The following is a 16,605-nucleotide window of genomic DNA, read 5'->3' on the forward strand; positions in this document are numbered from 1 at the left end:
AAACTCTTGCTCTATCAGAATGCAACATATTTAACTGTTGCAACTCACACGCACAAAATGTCTCAGTTCCACAAGAGTTGAGATGAAATCTTTGCTTCTTGAACAATACAAGATATTACTAAAAAGCAAAGGAGAGATATTTGCTTGCAAGAAATGAAGGAAAAAGAGAGCTCAGGAATCATAGAGACCCAGGAGGGAACTCAGGCCTCACAACTCACCAGCTGTGTGAGTTGGAGTGAGTATTTAACTTCTCCAGACCTCTGTTTCTTTGTCCATAGAAAGGAATAATGTTAGCTACCTTACATGGCTGTGATAAGGACTATATCATATAATGCATGTCAAACTCTTAAGCAATGTCCAGTGCTAAGCAAGGATTCAGCAAATAGCAGTTATTATCAATACTACCTATTAATATTTCAAAAACACACAGAAAAGGTTTAGAATTATGGAACAGGCCTGATGAAAAACACGACATGAATTAATTTTGTTACAAAAAACTTACTTTATGAAATGTGCATTCGTTAAAAATGGACAGAAGACGTGCATGATTTTCTTGAAATTATTTCGGCCAATGCGCCCTGTGTCTCCAAGGTCATATGAGCGTAGCATGTTATAAAAAGCTTGTAGGTTCCTAGTAATTGTATCATGAACAATTTCTTCCACCTAACATTAAAAAACAAACATATTTCCTAAGCCATACATCTGTAACCTCTTGTAACAGTAACCTCAAACCATATAGGAAGGCATCCACACAAAGAAGGCAAGTGTTACTTACTGAATCCCAGGCCAGGAGGAAAGGTGTCTTAGCATCTGTACAGGGAGATGTCTTTCTCATCTAATTGGGAAAGAGAAAGTATATAAATAAATACCACTCATGAAAGTCATTAGGAGCTTTGGAGGCAGGTGGACCTGGACTGGAATCCTAGCTCTGTCCCTAATTAGCCATTAGCTTTGAGACCTTGAACAACGGAGCTTGCCCTCTAATACCCATCTGAAAGTAAGGATTATAACACTTAACTTGAAATACTATGCAGACATAAAAAGAATGAGATCATGTCTTTTGCAGGGACATAGACGGAGCTGGAGGCCATTATCCTTAGCAAGCTAACACAGGAACAGAAAACCAAATACCACAGGTTCTCACTCATAAGTGGGAGCTAAATGATGAGAACTCATGGACACATAGAGGAGAACAATGCACACTGGGGCCTATCGGAGAACAAGAGAATTTTCACCCTCAGGAGAATGAGGATGGAGGTTGGGAGGAGAGAGAGGATCAGGAAAAATATAATAACTAATGGGTACTAGGCTTAATACTTGGGTGATGAAATAATCTGTACAATAAACCCCCATGACACAAGTTTACCTGTGTAACAAACCCGCATTTGTACCCCTGAACTTAAAATAAAAGTTAAAAAAAAATAGCATTTAACTTTCACTTAAGGAAAAGTACAATAAACACACAAAAAAACCCATCACCTAGAAATTAAATAAATGCAAAGTAGAAGAATAACGAGATGGTATTTTTGCCTATCAGAATGGCGAAAACGCAAAAGTAAGCAAATTACCTGCACAGGTGGGGGTTTCAGAAATGGTGGGAGTGTAAACTGATCTAACTTTCTGGAAGGTATTTTTGTCTCAAGGTACATTTGGATACTATTTGACAATTTGATAATTTACAGACTCTACAGCAAGGAAGGCTGCCGCTGGGGAAGAGAACCGGTAGCTAGGGACTGGTGGAGAAAAAAAAACTTCCTTTCACTCCATCCCCTCTTGTGTCCTTTGCATTCTGTACTTTATACATATCATTCTCTTTAAAAATTATTAAAATAGTAATAGAATAAAACATATTCTTTGACCCAATAATTCCATTTCTTAAAATTTATAACTAAAGAAATAATTACATAGAGTAATACAAAAAAGCAAGTGCCAAGATGTTCACTGCAGCAAAATTTTAAAAATAAAAAATAAATGAACATCCAAATTATAACAGTTATTTAGTATATTTTAAAATTAGATAGCAGGCCAGGCACAGTGGCTCAAGCCTGTAATCCCAACACTTTGGGAGGCCAAAGTGGGCGGAACACCTGAGGTCAGGAGTTCGAGACTAGCCTGGCCAACATGGTGAAACCAACCCCGTCTCTACTAAAAATACAAAAATTAGCTGGGTGTGGTGGTGTGCGCCTATAATCCCAGCTACTCGGGAGGCTGTCGCAGGAGAATCATTTGAACCCAGGAGGCTGAGGTTGCAGTGAGCCGAGGTCATGTCACTGCACTCCAGCCTGAGCAATAGAGTGAGACTCTGTCTCTAAAATAAATAAAATAAAATTAGATAGCAGAACTTTTATTGACGTTAAGTGTTAACAGTATGTTAATAAGTGACAATATAGACTAAAACGTCATTATATGTGGCGTGAACCTGGGAGGCAGAGCTTGCAGTGAGCCGAGATCGCGCCACTGCACTCCAGCCTGGGTGACACAGCAAGACTCCGTCTCAAAAAAAAAAAAAAAAAGTCATTGTATGGTCTTGCTTTTAAATAAAATAGCTACAATCTACAGAAGTGTGTGTCCAAACTCATCAAACTGCATATATTAAATATGTACAGTTTTTGAATATCAATTACACCTCAATAAAGCTGTTTTTAAAAAACAGAAGTATGGGTATGCATGTATGTGGATTTGGAAGAATATACAGCAAAGTATAACAGCAAATAACAATGCTTTGGTGTTAGAATTAGTGGTGACTTTTATTTTCGCCTATTGCACATCTATGTTTTCTAATTTTTCCAATTCCTTCATTCATGTTTATTCATTCATTCAATAGATTGTGTGAGTGTGGCTGACACTGCCTATCCCCTATAGTACAATGGGCAGTGATAACAGAAAGGTCTCTGCCTTTGTGGAGACAGGACCACATCAGGCCACAAATGTGACTCTGAGACTGGGAGGGTCCCTGCGCAGGCTCCGGGGGTGCTGAGCTCTGGAGATGGTAACCTGGGTCACGAGGAACTGGAAGGAATCCCAGGTAGCAGATGCAGCACAGGCCAAGGCCTGGGAGGGGCAGCCAGGGAGCCTGAGGAACTGGATAAGGAGGCCTTCCCAGAAAGCCACTGGAAAGGTGAAGGCATGAAGACAGGCATGATCTGTTTTATACTAGACAAAGATCACACCACTTGCCACGTAGAGAAGGGATTGCTTACGTGTCTACGTTTTGTTTTTAAAGAAAACGGATTCTTAACATTTTATGCGCATTATCCTGTTAAATTCCCTTAACAACCTTACAAGGTGGTACCATAATCAACCTGGTTTTACAGGTAAAGAAATGAGTCTTAGAGAGGTAAATTATTTGCACCAGGTCACAGCTAATAAGGGGTGGAGGCAAGAGTCGACCGCAGGTGCACAAGCTCCTACCCTGGCTGGCTGCTCACTTGATTCCGTGGCCACTAGGCTTGATCTGACTCTGAAGCACTGGCAGTAAACTGAGTCAAGGCATACACTCAGGCTTCCACAAGACACATACATGGCCTGGGTACACAGGTTCACACACGCATCTACTACCTATGCAGGACGGGTACGGGGTACAGCCAACACCAACTGTCAGCCTATTCCAACGCACTGTCTAGCAAAATAGATCACAAGGCCTTAAGAATGCATAAAGGAATTTTATATATATTATAACTAAATTATAATATAGTAATATAGTTAATATATAATATAGCTAATTTGTAATATATAATATATATCATATAACTATGTATATATAACTATGTTATTATATATTATGTGTATATAATATATTATGCTATAATATAATTATTATATAGCATAATTATATATTATAGTATATTATACTATAATATATAATATAATATACTATATTATACTATAATATATAATATAATATACTATATTATACTATAATATATAATATAATATAGGATTTATAATATATAATATAATATAGGATTATAATATAGTATAATATATGATATAATATATAATATAATATGTAATATTATATAATATAGGATTTAATATAATATAGGATTTATTAAGTAAGCAATAAATCAGTGTACAAATGTCTATATATATCCAGATATAGTATATTTATATGATAATTATACTATATATCTGATATATAATATATTATACATAATAATTCAATTATTGTTATATAAAGTATAATATATAATAATTCCATTTCTAGAAATAGATACTAAATAATCATAAAGTGATGCAAAAAAGCAGGTACCAAGATGTAATTAATTAATGTAATTGTAAAAATATAATAATATGTAATGTATGATGTAATTATATATTATAATATAATATAACTCTATATACAATATGTCTGGATATATATATATCCAGCAACATAAAAATGCCCACATGTTTTGGGCCAGTATTTCTACTTCTAAAATCTATTCTAAGGAAATATTTAGATATGAATGGAGATCTGTGCACAAAGATGTCCAGCATAATATAAGTAAGTAGAGAAACAGCCTAACTGCCCCAGTGACAAGGACATGCGCAGAACACTCTTAGATACCACTGAAAATCTTATTTATGATGAGTTTTTAATGATGTGGGGTGAGGGGGAAAGGCTCATCATATAACGTGAAGCTGAAAAAATGGAATATACAAAGTCATACAAAAATGAGTTCAGGCCAGGCGCGGTGGCTCAAGCCTGTAATCCCAGCACCTTGGGAGGCCGAGGTGGGCAGATCACAAGGTCAGGAGATCGAGACCATCCTGGCTAACATGGTGAAACCCCGTCTCTACTAAACATACAAAAAATTAGCCGGGTGTGGTGGTAGGCGCCTATAGTCCCAGCTACTTGGGAGGCTGAGGCAGGAGAATTGCTTGAACCCAGGAGGCAGGGAGGTTGCAGTGAGCCGAGATCATGCCACTGCACTCCAGCCTGGGCGACAGAGCAAGACTCCGTCTCAAAAAAAAAAAAAAAAAAAGAATGAGTTCAACCATGTAAACAAAAAAATGTGCCCACCCACATACAAAGAGTGGAAGAAAATTTATCAAAATTTTAACTGTGTAACTATCGCTGAGTGTTGGGATTTGGGATTTTTATCATTATTTTCACCTTTGTAGTTTGGCATATTTTCTAATCTACAATGAATTTCTGTTACTTGTGTAATCACAAAACATTTGAATAAGTTATGTACTATGGCCTATTAAAATTACCTCCAGAATGTTGGTAGAAAATGTCTACATGTACCAAGAGGAGGTAATTTAAATATGACACTTTCGCTCCAATAAACTGTCCCATTTTAAACCAAGAAGTATGCCATAAACTCTTCCCAAGACCATGATCAAAAACCACGACAGATGGAAAGGATTTATTGATGATGAATAAATTGCATTTTGCACAGAAACCATCAGAATAGAATGCAGCTGGCTTCAGCTAAACCATCTTAAAGCTTTCCCTAAAGCAAGGCACCCCATTCAGATCCATTCAGTAGAAACATCACCTTTAGGGAAATAGTGCATCTCGTGATATTACTGGTTTGATTTTGATTCATAGGGATGCCAACGTCATAAATCTAAAATTAAAAGCTAATTTGTACCTGTTAAAAGCAGCTTTTTAAAAAACATTTCAACAAGAATCTGTTAAAACCTATTGCATGCACTATCTGAAATTGATAAAGTTCTTAAAATTTTTTAAATGCTAATAGCTATTAAAGTTATAGAAACATTTCTAATAATAAAAGTGTCAACTTTTCAGTCAAAAGAAGCAAATGCTAAAGGCAAATGCTAGTCACTAGAGGCAATAAGCAGTTATTTTTTTAAAGTTGAACCAACATAGGGTACGAAACTCTAAAAACATGAATGAGAACCAGAGTAGTCACTCACAAATACTCCTTTCAAAGACATGGCTGTGGCCAGGCGCGGTGGCTCACGCCTGTAATCCCAGCACTTTGGGAGGCCGAGGCAAGTGGATCACGAGGTCAGGAGATCAAGACCAGCCTGGCCAACATGGTGAAACCCTGTCTCTACTAAAAACACAAAAATTACCCGGGCGTAGCAGCACGTGCCTGTAGTCCCAGCTACTTGGGAGGCTGAGGCAGGAGAATTGCTTGAACCTGGAAGGTGGAGGCTGCAGTGAGCCGAGATCATGCCACTGCACTCCAGCCTGGGCAACAGAGAGAGACTCGACGGAGAGAGACTCCATCTCAAGAAAAAAACAAGAACAACAAAAATAAATAAATAAATAAGACATGGCTGCAAGAGGAGTGCTGTTGAGGTGGCGCCAGTTACATCCTGTATATAAAGGGCTCTCGTTCAGGGATGGGTTTTCAGAAACGTCAATTACCATCCTTTTTTAAGATTCAGAAACTAAAAGTTAAAATCAAAGTGCTTAAACACTTGACCCTCACTTAAAATGATTGAGTTGAAAACTGTAAAGTCGTTAATTTATTTAAACCATATTTCACTTGCATCTCTTATTAGGAATACTGAAATTTCCCAACATAAAGAGAAAACCAAACAGGAAGTTGTTACAAAACTCACCCTACAGTTCTCTTCAATCAGATCAATAAACATGCTGGTGTTGACCACTCCAGTGTCCCCAGGGTCAAGCATTTGCATTAGTTCTTTGAATTCTGAATCGCTTAGTTTTACAGCCATGCAATTTAGAATATATCGAAATTCTTCTCTTGTTATCGGTCCATCGGGTTTCTGAGCATCAGAGTGTATATAAGGGAATTTTTGAAAAAAAAAAAAAAAGGAAGAAAAAGTGTTATGTATGTTTAGCATCATTTAATAAAGAGCGAGCTTTGGCCAAATAGAATTATGATTGGAAATGCAAATACATCGACTGATGATCCTTACATAACATGAGCACTGTGTGTGTGTGTGTGTGTGTGTGTGTGTGTGTGTGTAGGCTGAATGCTAGAACTTTCCAGGTGCAGTTCCTACAATGTTCTCTATCAGGACATGGCTTTGGGTGAGCAATGAGGCCCATTTCTCAAGCTCAGGTTGACTCCCTTCCCCAGGGGCTTGAATGGCTTGAACAGCTCCTCACTTCCCTACCCCACCTGAGAGCTGGGGGTTCAACCACATGGGGCACAAAACTTCCCAGCAGTTCAATTAGTTTGCCAATTTAGTAAGAATAAATTATGAGTGTTTTCTCCACCAACAGTCTCATCCATTACATAAATGGACAACTACTTTGCTAGAAAAATTTCAGCCATGCTGCATAAAGAAAACATATTATGAGCAAAATACCGTGAGAAAAAATTTCTTCCCCCAGAATAAAAATTTATCAATAAGTAGACTGAACACCAAAATTGAGAGATACTGTTTATTGGAAAGACAGGGTAAATAAAGAACCTTTACCTCATACGGAGACAGTGAATATTAACGTGACAAAAGGATTTATTAAGTAAGCAATAAAGCAGTGTGCAAATGTCAACTATTATTTGGGGGTCCAAAATCTGAAAAGAATATAAGGTTCTCTTGAGGGGTAAATTAAGTACTTTAGGGGATATATGCATGCTTACCTTTTGAGAGTCATAATCAATTCTTTAATGCCTAAAGAGAAATCACTGACAGCTAAACTTTAAGTTACTTTAATACATTTAAAGCATTGTGTAACCATCACAAGGATCTAATTCTAGAATAGTTTCAGCACCCCCAGAAGAAATCTCGTGCACATTTGCAGTCTCTCCCCATTTCTTGCCCCAGCCTAAGGCAATGACTCCATTTTCTGTCTCTAGATATTTGCCTTTTTCTGGATATTTCATGTAAATAGAATCATAAATACATGGTTTCCTGCATCTGGCTTCTTTCTCCTAACATAGTGTTTTTGAGGCTCATCCATGTTGTAGCATATATCAGTATTTTGCTCCTTTTTATTCCCAATCGGGCATTACATTGCCAGATTTTGTTTATTTTGTTACAAGTTGGTGGACATTTGGATTGTTTCCAGTTTGGAAATTGTGAATAATGTTGTTATGAACATTTGTTCACAAGTCTTTGTGTGGACATGTTTTTATTTCTCTTGGGCAGATACTTAGGAGTGGAATTGCTGGGTTCTATAAGTCACATTTAATTTTTATAGAAACGGCCATGCTGTTTTCCACAGTGGCTGTGCCATTTTGCATTTTCACTAGCAGTATATGAGAGTTCCAGTATCTCCACATATCCTTGTCAACACTTATTATTGTTTGTCTTTTTGATTATAGCCATCCTAGAGGGTGAGAAGTGGTATCTCGTGGCTTTGAGTTTCTCTAGTGATCAATACTGTCAAGTATCTTTTCACGGGTTCATAAAAGATTGTATTGGCTGTTCACAGATCTTCTTGGGTAAAATGTCTATTAATATATTTTACCCATTTAAAAAATTAGGTTGTCTTCTTATTGAGTTGTAAAAGTACTTGTATGTTCTAGATACAAGTCCTTTACCAGATATATGATTTGCATATATCTTCTCCCAGTCTGTGGCTTGTCTTTTCACTTTCTTAAAGGTATCTTTTGAAGCATGAAATTTAATTTTGATAAAGTCCAATGTATCAATTTGTTTCTTTTATGGGTTATACTTTGGTGTCATTAAGAAATGTTTGCCTAACACAAGGTCACAAAGATTTATATATGTTTTTCTTCTAAGAGTTTTATGAGTTTAGCTTTTATATTTAGATCTATTTGTGTATGGTGTAAGAGGTAAGGGACTGAATTCATCTTTTTGCATATGGATATCCAATTGTCCTCTTAACATTTTAACAGATATTTTCCTTTCCCCCACTGAATTTGTCAAAAATAAATGGACCATAAATGTAAGGGTTTATTTTTGAACTCTCAACTCTGTTCCATTGATCTGTATGTAGGTCTTCAAACCAGTATCACACAGTCTTTACTACTATAGCTTTGCACTAAGATTCAAATTCTGGAAGTGTAAGTATTCTAACTTTGTTCTTCTTTTCCAAGATTATTTTGGCTGTTCTTCCACCTTTGTATTTCCATATGAATTTTCAGACAGCTTTTCAAAAGCAAAAAAAAAGAAAAAAAAAAGCCAGCTGGGATGTTGATAGGGTTTGCACTGAATCTATAAAGCAATTTGGAGAGAACTGTCATCTTAATAATATTGTCTCCGATCTATAAATATGGAATGTATTTTATTTACATATTCTTTACTTTCCTTTAACAATGTTTTGTAATTTTCAGTATAAAAATCTGGCACTTCTTTTGATAAATTTATTCCTAGGTATTTTATTCTTTTTGATGCTATTGTAAATGGAATTGCTTTCAGAAGTTCCTTTTCAGATTGCTCATAGCTAGTTTATAGAAATATAACTGATTTTTGTATGTTAATCTTATATTTCTGCAACCTTATAAATTCATTTATTAGTTCTAGCAGTATGTGTGAATGCACACATGCACAAATTCCTTAGAATTTTCTACACACAAGATTGTATCGTCTGTGTACAAAGACAGTTTTACTTCTTCCTTTTCAATCTTGATGCCTTTTATTTCTTTTTCTTTCTCGATTGGACTGTCCAGAACTCTAGCACAGTGTTGACTAGAAGCAGTGAGAGCTGACATTCTCGTGCTGTCCCTGATCTTAGGAGGAAGGAGTTCAGTCTTTTACCATTAACTGTGCTGCTGGCTATGGGTTTGTTGTAAATTCCCTTTATCAGGTGAAGGTATTTCTCTTCTGTTCTAATTTGTGGAAAGTTATTATCATAAACAGGTGTTGGATTTTTCAAATACTGTTTTTGCATCTATTGAGATAATCATGTAGTTCTGTTCCTCACTCTACTAATGTTGCATATGACATTGATTTTGGGGGAAGTTAAACCAACTTTGCAATCCTGGGATAAATCCCATGTGGTCACAGCACTTAAGCCTTGCCATGTGTTGCTGGATTCGGTTTGCTAATATTTTGTTGAGAATTTTTGCAACTATAGTCACAAAGGATATTGGCCTGTGGTTCTTTTCTTGTGATGCCTTTGCTTGGTTTTGGTATCAGGGTAATACTGGCCTCAGAGAATGAGTCTGGAAGTGTTCCTTCCTCCTGTATTTTCTGAAAGTTTGTGAAGGAATGGCATTATTTCTAAGCAATCATTGTAGTCTTCAATGTGGAGAATTTGCATGTTTTTGTAAGACATATTTCTATGTATTTGATTTTTTAAAATGTTATTAGAAATAATATTTTAAAAATTCATCTTTTTCTAATAGTTTATTGCAGTTTATAGAAATACTGTTGGTCTTTGTGTATTGACTTTGTATCCCATGACCTTCTAAATCCTATTATTAATTCTAATGTTTTCTGGGAAGATTCTGTTGGACTTTCTATTAACTAAATCATGTCAGCTACAAATAACAATATCAAGACTAGGTAAAAAGGCAGGATGCAAATTCCTTCTGGATGACTGAGAGGAAGTAAGCCACACCTGATTTAAATGTAAGTGATCACAGCAGTTGGGTCCACTTGCAGAGTTGGTGGCAGCATCTGGAGGCAGCACATATAGCAAATGGGATGCATGCCTTGGCGTGGATCTAAAGCAGTCTTTTAAACATTCTGCATCCCTCTCTATAGCAGGAGAGAGATTTGTTTCCCATGACTGCCCTGAGCAGCCAGGCAAAACGCCCAGCCCTGCCCACTCCTGGCTCCCACCCTTATTCTCCTTCTTACCTAGTCCCCTCCGTAGTGGGGTGCATGGTGGGGGGATGGGAGGGGAGGGGAATCTCACTCTGAAACCATGCACTATGTAACTGTAAGGCATCTGATTGTTAATGCCATGATGTGATACCCTAGAGTGTGAGCTTATCGGCAAGGACTTAGCATTAATCATTTGTGTGCTTAGCCTAAGTGCCCAGCACGGGGGCCCAGCATGGACTACGTACTCAATTCTTAACCTACACTGTCTGTTTATTGATCTCAAGTTGAATAGCACAACAATGACTTTTAAACAGTCTAATAGTTGGAGTGATTAGCATTATTGTATAGTCCTCCATTAAAGGAAATGAAGGTTTCCCTATTTTTAATTAAATTACTTCTTCAGCATACTATTAGAACCTGAGTGGGGGTGGGTAACACACAAAGGCCTCGTTTATCTTTTCCCACGCGGCTCAGCCAGCAGGGTCCTGGGCAGCCCTGACCAGTGCTGGAGTGTGGCTGCTCTAGAGTCTGGTGGCCTCCAAAACCACTATCTGGGTAGCCTCAGGCGGGTTACTTAGCACAGAGGCCTCCTTTCCTCATCTGTCAGATGGAGATCATAATCATGTTTGCCTCACCAAGGTGTCAAGAGGATTTAGTGAGTGTATATATCGCCGAATCATTTAAGACGGTGCCTGGCACATAGTAAGCACTCAACATTATTGTTCATTCAGAGAGACCAAGTCACATAGGTGTAAAGATTCATTCAAAGAACCCCATGTTCCTGAATCCACACTGTGCTCGGAAATCCCATGCAATAGCATTCTAGTGCGGCAGAGGCAGGCGCTGGGGTCTCCACAGACAGCAAACCACAAACCTGGAAGCCACCCCCAGGCAGTGCTGGCTTCTCCCTGGGGCACCACCCTCCACTCCCAGACACTCCCTCCACGGCAGGTTCTAGGAGGCTGATGCTGAGCTAAGGGACACCTTTGGCCTCTGAAATCATCTGTACACAGTCCTGTGTGAGTCTCAGAAACAGTAATTCACCCTGCTCCTCACTGTTTACTAGAGCTTCAATTACCGAATGTGCTTAGTAAATGTTGCTGCGTATCAAAAGGATCCAAATGCTGCTTTCTAAAACAATATTAAAGTCAGACAGGAGCTAATGGTGAATGTGAGAAAAAGCAGGTTGCAAATTCATGAATTAGCCTCTCTTTGTAGTACAATTAAAAAATTAAGTAGGCTATTTTGGCACTAAGAAAATGCCCCTGTTTTGGGCAATAAGTTGGTTATGAACTGATCAACTCTAGGTTAGGGTGGGGAAGGGTCACCAGGTCTGGGTTGTTTGTTAATTAAACAGTGAATGATGATCAGTCACTGCAACTATTACGACCTTGCCACACATTGTTCCCATCACAACTGGCACCTATGTTACTGTATTGCAATTAATTTTCCATCGTCCGTCTTCCCAACTAGACTCAACCCTTGAGCTCGGGGCTTCTATCCCTAAGTGCTCAGAATAATTCCCAGCATGTAACGGGGGCTCAAGAAGTGTTTGTTGGATGGATAAATGAACGAATATGGAGTTGTTATTGGTCTTGTTCTGAGTGTTTGCATTCTTAGAAACAATGAGTGTTTCACAAGAGAAGGCTTTCAAAATCTTACAGTGTTGATTATCAGTAATGCTTTCTTCAGTGACGCAGAGTGATCTTCAGTGTGTCTAAATAACTTTGTGATGATGTTTTCCTTGTGAGATTCATTTCTAGAGTTGATGCTACAAGAGGATTAGGAGAAAAGCAGGAATAAGATTATGTTCTTGAACTTTGTTCTTTTCTTAATGCAAGAAACAAGCACCCTCACCACAATACAGTAGAGCTTTCTCTGTGCGTGGCTCTTTTTCCTGACAGTGTGCTGCACTTGTGGGGCTCATCTGAACCTCAGTTACTGTGATCAGAGAGATGCCACGAATGCAGGGTGAGCCTTGCTGGACCATCTCCTCTCCCCACGAGACCAACTCATCGGCCATCTTGCACACCTGTGGTTTTGGTCTCAAACAAGACCAATAAAGGGACCATGGACCAGTGCTGAGACCTCAGTGGCTGGGAAGCTGGGAGCCCCCCCTCCTGTGTGTGCAGCACATTGTAGCTGTCTCATCCACATGATAACTGAGGGCACAAATTCCCTATTTAGAACTGCAAGGACAGCAGACTTCTCAGCCTCTCCCTTTCTGTTGACAATGACCATGATGCCCTACGTTGTCAGACCCCCTTTCCCTCTATGGCCTCTTTCATCCCTGAGCTCGGGGCCCGTCAGTGTACATGTGTGCTCCTGAAGGCCAGGACTACCCCCTCTGGAGACCAAAACCAAGTTCAATGTGGACTTGGCTCAGAAAGGGAGACTGTCAGAATCTCATCACAATATACCATTGGGTGCTTCTCTTTTCTGATGTTCTACTAGACCATCCTACCTTTCCCATGAAACAATGAATGACAGTCAGTTTACCTGCGGAACCATTCTAAGATTTGTTTGGGAGTTTTTGTTGCTGCGTCTATACAGCCATCTTAGCTTCTTCCGTTTGTGCAGAAACAATAAGCCTACGCCTACCACCACTTTTCAGAAACATATGCTGGCTTCCTGAGTCTAAGCTCCTCACATGACTTGTTAGAACCTTCTTTTTCTATAGACGGCCAGCACTGGCATGAAGAGATGCTTTTTACAGCAGATTTTATCCACCGGGTACCCCTGACCTAGGGGCTGGAGAGCTCTTTGCTGTGGGGACTCACTGCAGAGTGTTGAGCAGCATCCCTGGCCTCCGCCCACTAGATCAGTGCAGGTTTGGATCTTAATCCTGAAAGATGCAATCCCAAATGCCATAATCCCAAATGTTGAACTCCCAAAAGATCAAAATCTCTAAATTCTAAAGCCCCTAATGCCTAAAATCGCAAAAAGCACAATCTCGAAAGATTAAAACCCCAAAGCCAAATTCTAGGCAAGGGATTTGTGTGTTTTCAGTTGTACACAGCATAGTTGCATCATGTTAGGTGGAACTACAACCTTGCTATTGTCGTTATTTGGAAATTAAGTTTGGTTTAAGGAGATGCCTCTGGGTACCAAGTTGCCGAGAGCAGATTTGTGGACTTAATTTCAGGTGTCAACTTGACTGGATGAAGGCACACCTAGAAACCTGGTAAAGCACTGTGTTGGGCGTGCCTGCGAGGGCGTTTCTGGAGATTAGTGTGTGGGTCTGTGGGGGCAGGAAGGGTGCGGGGGGAAGATTTGCCCTCAGTGTTGGCGAGCACCATCCAATCAGCTGGGAGCCCAGAGAGAACACAGCTCTCCCTCGGAGCTGGGACATTTTCTGCCGCTGCCTTGGACATCGGAAATTTGACTCCACAAAAATGCATTATCACAACGTTGCCTTAGTGTGTGAGCATTGTGTGTGTTGTGTACAAACACTGAAACTCGCTCAGTATATGAAGAGACGTCATTTTTGTTCACTGCATTTGTAAAAGATAAAATTTCTCAAGATCTTGGCTCTTTGGGCAACTGTACAGGCAGTGGTGACCCATCGCGGATTTTGATTGATCTTGCAAAAGACTTAGGTTATCTGTCACGGTATTCTGAATGACTGCAGTTATGAAACTGGGTGCATGCGATTACCCACCATAGGGATATGCATTTACATGTTTCACTTTTTGACCTATTTCTTTAGGAATATGGTTCATCTGCTCATATCTGTCACACCTATGTGATGGTCACTAGTATATCTAAGTGTTTATGCTTGAAAAATATGTGTCATTTTTGCCTATTTTTTGTGTAAAGTGGCCTCTGAAGTGTTCTATTGTGTTTTTATGTTTCTCAAATAAATCCCCTTTTACAATGTAAATAAATATTTTTAAAACAATTTTTTTTTTTTGAGATGAAGTTTTCCTCTTGTTGCCCAGGCTGGAATGCAATGGTGAGATCTCGGCTCACTGCAAACCTCTGCATCCTGGGTTCAAGCAATTCTCCTGCCTCAGCCTCCCGAGTAGCTGGGATTACAGGCTTGCGCCACCACGCCTGGCTAATTTTGTATTTTAGTAGAGATGGGGTTTCTCCATGTTGGTCAGGCTGGTCTCGAACTCCTGACCTCAGGTGATCCACCCACCTCAGCCTCCCAACGTGCTGGGATTATAGGCGTGAGTCACCGTGCCAGCCTAAATAATTTTTAATTTTTTTTTTCAGAATTATATTTTCATGATTTTGATCTTCTGAGGTTTCAACCTTAAGGATGATGGCATTTGTGTCTTTTGGGGTTATGATCAGCTCCCATCAGTAGCTTCCCCACCCTCAGTGTGACAACCAAAAATGTCTGTGACATTGCCAGATATCTCCTGGGAGGAAAAATTGTCCCCATTTAAGAACCACTGTTTTAAAGTAAATAAAACTTTAAGTTTAATTCTGACAGCCTCTCTAGACAACGTGCTATTGGACAAGAAAATTAAAAAGAAACAGAAGTAACTTCACATAACGAATGAACTCAGAGGTTGCAGCTCTGGAGCAGAGAGGGAGCGCTCTGATTACCTGCAAGGCTGTTAACAGGCGCAGTTCATTAAATATTCACAAATCCCCGAGACAGGGACAGGACCCACAAAATGGGAATTAACTCCATGGTATATTTTACTTTACAGTAGAGCACAGCACTTTCAATGAACGTGCCAAGATTATAAAGCCTGTTTTTTTCTTTAAGATTCATAGAGGGCAATGAATACAGGATACGCATCAACATAAAATACTTCTCAGAGCAGAAAGCTAAATTCTAAAATTTCATATTATTAAATTTTTTAAAAAACATTTTGGGGCCCCATCACAAGATATTTGGTATTGCAAATCTGAGGTTATAATAGATATTAAAACGAAAACAGAAATAATGATAGACAAATAATCTCCATGACCCATGATATCTGGGCCACTCAGTGGCTGGAAAACAAATCAACATATATTGTTCCTTTCCATGTAACACCTAACAAATACACGTTTACCTACAATGTTACAAGGATATGCTTAGAGCTAGGGAGCAGTGCTTGCCGTGGCGGCCTGTGTGCCTGGAGCCTTTGTGGTCCATAGCTGTCTCCACCACACTCTGAGCAGGTGATGGAGTTCAGATTGTATCATCTTATGTTTCTCATCTAGAAATTGACATAACAATTATACCAACCTTATAGTTTAAGGCAGTTTTCAATAAGAAAAATTTGTAAGCAGTAAATCACTATATAAAAGTTGGCAATTATTCAATGGAGACTAATCGATCATTCAATAAATGCAGAAAAAGTAGCACAGATATTCTCTGATATTTTACATATTATGATATGTGTAACTAAAATTTGTTTTTTTTTTTTTTTTTACATACCTATTTCTTTTTGTCAGGGGACCTTTACTGCTAACTTGCAACCCCTGAGGCTCATGAAATGATGTTAGAAATTGCTTCCAATTGATTTTAGTGGTGGCTTTAAGTCCAAATCTGGATTTAAAAGTAACAACAAAAAACATTACTTTAAACATTTTTTCTATAACACTGCATGGATTAGGTACTTAATGTTGAATTGAAAATGGCAGCAATGCATTTATATGAAGTTTCAAATCTAATATAAACAAAATCACTTAGTAAAATAGTACTACAAATTGATTTTTTAAAGCAAGGAAAAATCAAACTGATATTAGATCTGCATGCCTCTATATTGTTAATGGTGGCATACACTGAAAGAAGAATCTAAGGGATTTGATTAAAATAATAATGTCCATAAAATAATTCTTTCAAATTCATCATGTGAAGAGCCTCTATGTTGTGGCAGGGAGGACAATGGCCCCCATGGGGTCCACCCTCTAATCCTGAGCCTCTGTGACTACGTTCTTGCCCCAGCAAAGAAACATGGTAGATGTGGTGGAGGGCGGATCTGGAGATGGAGCAACTCTCCTGGTTTATCCAAGTGGGCCCACTCTAATCCCATACATTCT

General features: G+C 38.7%; 1 protein-coding gene across 22 annotated transcripts in view; it reads right to left on the bottom strand.

Annotated features, from left to right (window-relative positions):
- Positions 1 to 16,605, bottom strand: part of EFCAB6 (EF-hand calcium binding domain 6) — a 283,528-nt gene that overhangs the window by 142,693 nt on the left and 124,230 nt on the right. For all 22 annotated transcript variants that reach the window (XR_007067980.1, XM_047441462.1, XM_011530319.4 and 19 more), the window contains 5 exons: positions 16,001 to 16,111; positions 12,277 to 12,385; positions 6,526 to 6,693; positions 776 to 835; positions 503 to 663 (listed from right to left, as the gene is read on the bottom strand). Coding sequence is in view for 21 of the 22 variants with exons in the window: in XM_047441462.1 (XP_047297418.1) it covers positions 503 to 663; positions 776 to 835; positions 6,526 to 6,693; positions 12,277 to 12,385; positions 16,001 to 16,111 (609 nt within the window). In the remaining variant the exon portion in view is untranslated. The remainder of the gene's footprint in view (positions 1 to 502; positions 664 to 775; positions 836 to 6,525; positions 6,694 to 12,276; positions 12,386 to 16,000; positions 16,112 to 16,605) is intronic.

Source organism: Homo sapiens, chromosome 22 (genome assembly GCF_000001405.40).
Source record: "Homo sapiens chromosome 22, GRCh38.p14 Primary Assembly".
In the NCBI taxonomy this organism is placed as follows: Eukaryota; Metazoa; Chordata; class Mammalia; order Primates; family Hominidae; genus Homo; species Homo sapiens.